Here is a 5,495-nt window from a genome sequence, read left to right as displayed (position 1 = left end):
GCCCTAAAAATGGGAATTTTGCAGACTTCACTGCCAAGAAAAAATGATTTGTTTCTTGATAAATTACTATTGGGCTTTATTCTTGGGGAAAAAAATACACTTACATTGAAATAAATGCCAAGGAATGGGTAGAGAATTTATATTATTCGTTCATATCTGTCACTGGATTGGTGGAAAGACAGCAGACCCATTTAAAACATATCCTGACTTGCTGAACACATGCCACAGAGGCAGGATGAAAATCTCTAGTGAATAGGGGCAGGTGTGGATCCCCGTGAGGCTGCACAAATCTGACAACGTATTGCTCTTATTTTTCTTCCCTGGGACACAAATTTTCTATCCTCTCTGGATCCCACAATTCGAGAAGCATCCCCAAATATGGACACGAGTCTTTTGCCGATTCTGAATATTTCCATGAGGCTTTGTAAATATCCTAGGCAAATTTGCCTTTCAACACAGAAGGGGAGTAGCAACAGGAAAGAAAAACTTTGGCAACCACAAAGCCACCAGTTTGTTTGTTAGTTGTATTGGACCAGGCAGTGACCGTGAAAACATGACTCTTCACCAACTCCATCAAAGGTTTGCAGAGCAGGAAAATGATAACAGCTTTGGAGAGAAGGCTGGACAAGAGTTAGGGATCCAGAATCCAGCTTCACATCTTTAAAACCTGTGTAATCTTTGGCAAAACAGGTAAGAACCCTGAGCTTCACTTTCCTCATCTGTAAAATAGTTTATTTGAACGAGCAACATTTTCCTTCCAATTATTTCTGCAAAATACTTCATTTCAGGCCAAACTTTATATAAAATTGCATTATACAGGACAAATCAAAGAGGAACTTCTCTAGTGAAAACAGAGTGCTTCTTCTAGTTTAGTTTTCCCCCACCTTCTGGGGACCCTCAGTTCACTCGGTAGAACTCTAGGGCCTCAGGGAACATACTATGGAAATTACTAGACTGAGTTCTTTGTAAGGTTCCTTCCAGTTTGAATACCCACGGTGGTGTGACTGACCTGCTCCTAAAACAATTAACTGAGGCTATGAGAATACTCTGCCAGCCTTGCCTAGTGCTCTTTGCCCCCGTGATAGTGGTGCATGGCTCCTCCTGAAAAATGCCAGGTTCCAAAGGCATAATGGCTGAATCTCAACAGGTACATTCCCCTGCTTGGCTAAGACAGAAAAATGAAAAGGACAATAGAGTGCTGGGAGCAGCTTCAAACATTCAGATGAGAGTTATAATCCAAATATTTATCTCCAGAAATTTGGAATGAAAAGAGGCATGCACCACTTGCTAAGGGAGTATTGATTAGTGTTTATCAATCCCACATTCCAGAAAGGCCTATAGGGTCGGTCCTTTTCCAAATGAAACAATGCGAAAACATAATGTCTGAATCGTCCAATACCTGGGTATGACTGATATGACTCATCTGCTACAAAAGTGAAAGAACTAAGTAAATGTTTTGAGGAAAGAACTTTCTGGCTAATTAAATTTTGTTTTTTGGTCTTTCTTGGTGCTATAAAAAAGAAGGGTGCCTTTATTCCTAAGTTGAAAATCTTTCTAAAATGCCTGCATTCATTTTCCATCTGAGTGACACCAATCTGAAGTGCTCCATCTTAGCTTTTTCTTTGTAATTTACAAAGTACTTTCCGTTTCACAAAGCACTTTATAGTTTACAAACACAGTTTACAATATACCTTATTATATTAGTTTAAAAGATGCTGTCCTCTTTCCAAAGTACTTAACAGTTTACACAGCCTTTTGTGGCTTACCCATTTCTTTGAATAAGCCACTTTATCATCTTAAAAGTATTTGACATTTTATAATGCCCTCTTATTATTACAAAGAGCTTTGTAGTTTACCAAATGCCTTGCAATGTGTAAAACAATTCCAAGCCCATAAGCATATTTAATTAGGTTCGAGTGACATAGTGCATCTTTCTTTGATGATTATAAGGATCATTATACAAGTAACATTTGTGACTGGCCTTTACTAAGCACAGGCTGAGTGTCCTACAGATGCTTGCTGGTGCCTGGTTGATTAAAAACATTATCTCTTTAAAATTATCTAACTAATGAAGGACTAAAAGTTTGGTTTTCATCAGTGGCTCTTCATGGGGGACAATTTTATCCTTCAGGGACACTTAGCAATATATGGAGACATATTTGGTTATCACAACTAGGGGAGAGGGTGTCACTGGCATCTAGGGGATACAAGTCAGGGATGCAATTGAACACCTTACAATGCATATCACAGCACCGGTCCCACCCCAACAAAAAAAAAAAAAAAAGAAATATCTAGCCCATAATGCCAATAGTGCCAAGATTGAGAAGCTCTGGTTTTCATAAAGGTGAAAGTCTCCTGTTAATTTCACACCTTTTATCTATTACATTAGAAGAATGCTTTCAGCTGCAAGTAACAGAAAATGACCTCAAACTGGCTTACATGTTACATACATTTATCATCTCACTTAACTGGAAATCAAAAGAAAGGCCAGGATATAGGGCTGGTTGATTAAGACACTGACCCGTGGCATGGAGACCCCTGATTCTCTTCCTCTCCACTTTGCTCAGCCTTCACTCATCCCAAAGCTGGTTCATAGCCACAGAAGGCTGACAGCAGCAATCGGCACAACCCGCCCTTGTTCCTGTCCAAAGCAGGGAAGCTGGCTTGTCTTTCTCAGAATCCCAGAAACAGACTTTGTTTGTGAATAAACACTCACATCATAAGGTGATTTACTTAATTAAAGGATGTATGCAAAATACCAAGGACAGAGCCTTTTATAGAGCTGATGCTCATTACATGTTCTCTCTTTACCTCCATCCTTTGTTGGACACTAACTTTTGGCTGATGACTAGGGCTTCTGAAAGGACAAAAACATAATAAAATCACCTGTTGATCCCCCAAGAAACAACTCCTGTGAAACAGCTGGTAGATTTACGCATAGAAATTCACACGGTTTCCCAGCCTGGAATTCTGAACTGTAAATCCTTCCCCCAACATATTACATATGCACACATACACACACTTTACCTCTTGCAAATGAAAAGTCATATATATCTTGCCAAAGCATTTCTGACAAGCAGCTCTAGCATTCAGAGCCTTAGGCAAGCTTTGTGTCTCCCATAGTGATGTATAACTGGCCAGGGAGGTTGCAGAGCCCAGTGTTCAAGACTAATCAACACCTCTTCAGATATTCTGTGCAAAGCTCCCTTTTCCTTGTCTGCAAAACCTATCAGCAGGAGGTACTTTATTTAGGAACGAATGGCTGAGTTCAGTACCCTGTTTGAAAGGAGGAAAATAATTTTTATTTTATTTTAGAATCCTCATAATCCAACCATATGCTCTCAGTTTCTTATTTAATTGGTTCCACGTATACTTTGGGGATAAAGCTAAGTTCTAGGGTTTAGTCATCAGGCTATCTCTGCAATACTTTTGTGATGTGGAATGGGGGTTATCGGATACTCATCTTCAAAAACCTTTAATGATTCCCACCCAATTACGTGTAGAAAAACTTAAACCCCTTAGCCTGACTTTCACAGTATGACACCAAGCATTGCATTCCCCATTATTTTTACTATTTCCTATAAATATCGTCTACTCCATTCAGACTGATCTCCTAGTTATTTTTCAGGTAAGTTTTATTGTGTTTCTGAACTGCAGAAACTGGAATACAGCAAGCATTAAAAAAACAACAGACTTGGGTCCAAATTGTGATTCTACCACATACAGGACATATGACCATAGGAAAAAAAATGCTTATTGGGTGAGCCTCAGTTTACTCATCTGGAAAATGATGATAATATCACCTTATGGGATAGAGGTGAGGGTTAAATAAGATACTTTTTCAATATGCTTAGCTCAGTGCCTGCCTTGTAGAAGGTGTCTAATAAAGTTCTTATTTTCCCTTCGCTTTCCTACCTGCCCATATTGATGTCTCTTACACATTTGTACTTCTGCAGTATTTTAAGGACGGTGCACTTTATTTCTCCTGTCAATCTCTCCAAGTCCATCGTATATCCAACTCTGCATTCTCCTAGCTGATTGTATTTTTCTTTTGTCACCTAGCAGAATTTTAATTTATACTATTTTGTGGAGTTAATTTTGTGGTATTTTTTCTCTTCAGTAGATTATAAGTTGCTGAGTAGAGCTATGGCTGTCTTGCTCACCTCTCTTTTCCTCATACCTAGAACAGTTTTTGATACACAGTAAGTGGTAGATAAATATTGAATGAAGGAATGATTGGACAATTAAGATGAATTCAGTAGTTCATAGCACCCTGCACTATGCTAAGTTCTTTATTCCTGTCATCTCACAGCAACCTCATACCCTACACACTATTGTCATCATCCCTATTTCCTAATTAAGAAATTGGTACATAGGGAGGTATAGTAACCCAAGGAGGTTACATGTGTAGAAAGAACATAGTCAGGATTGGGACTCAGTCATTTGACTCCAAGCCCCGGTTTTTCACCATTAGGGTGACGCCTTCGCTCCAAAGATGGCGGACAGTGGAAGTGAACATGCCTTCAGGGCTTGGGTAATTTGTGTATTTTTTATTTTTTGTTTTTTTTTTTTTGCGACAGAGTCTTGCTCTGTCGCCCAGGCTCGAGTGCAGTGGCACAATCTTGGTTCATTGCAACCTCCACCTCCCAGGTTCAGGTGATTCTCCTGCCTCAGCCTCCTGAGTAGCTGGGATTACAGGCATCTGCCACCACGCCCGGCTAATTTTTGTATTTTTAGTAGAGACAGGGTTTCACCATGTTGATCAGGCTGGTCCTGAACTCCTGACTTCACGAGATCCGCTCCCCTCTGCCTCCCAAAGTGCTGGGATTACAGGCAAGAGCCACTGCGCCCAGCTTAATTTGCCTATTGTATATCCTTGTTTAAATCAGTGGGAGCTGCCCAAGTGGATTCAGAAAGCATGAATCCCTTTCACTCTTTTCAGTAGATTTTCCAGTCATGACATCCTTTGATCTTCACATGAGACTTTGCTCTGTTGATGAAACAACAGGACACAGCAGGGGTAAGCGATTTGCTCAAGGTCACTCATGGAGTCACTGATGTGGAAACACACAGTGGGAGATGCTTAGAACAATCAGAGGAGTAATCACATCAGGTCACTGCAGCCAGAGAGACCTCCCTGAACCTCCCACCACTGTTTTAGAGGGAGCTCAGTGTTGGTCTGGTCTTTGGAGATATGGATGAGCTTTGCATTACGGAGAAACCTTTGGATTTGGTCAGGTGGCCTGGATTCTGGAGGCAGCCACATCACATACATCTGAGCTTGTGAGTCCTATTTGCTGAGCTTCTGCTTTTCCTTCTGGACAATGAGGTTACACTAGATATTTTCTAAAAAAGAAAAAAAAAGTGGGACCCAACAGGTACTTATTGAGGGTCTACTAAGTCTGTGTCTATCTTACTTCTATATTCCTTAGACCTAGAATGGGGTTCTGGCATAGTAAGTGCTAAGTAATTATTGTGCAAATATATGATCGTGA

The 5,495-nt window shown here is 40.2% G+C and overlaps 1 annotated feature.

Moving 5' to 3' along the window:
* Nucleotides 4,751-5,288: an enhancer, noted in NCBI's record as "NANOG hESC enhancer chr16:8287386-8287923 (GRCh37/hg19 assembly coordinates)". NCBI's record gives its function as "activates a minimal SCP1, AML or CMV promoter by ChIP-STARR-seq in naive H9 embryonic stem cells {active_cell/tissue: H9 hESC(naive)}" and the evidence as "EXISTENCE:reporter gene assay evidence [ECO:0000049][PMID:30033119]".

Source organism: Homo sapiens, chromosome 16, assembly GCF_000001405.40.
Source record: "Homo sapiens chromosome 16, GRCh38.p14 Primary Assembly".
Classification (NCBI taxonomy): Eukaryota; Metazoa; Chordata; class Mammalia; order Primates; family Hominidae; genus Homo; species Homo sapiens.
This window is presented reverse-complemented; position numbering and strand designations above follow the sequence as displayed.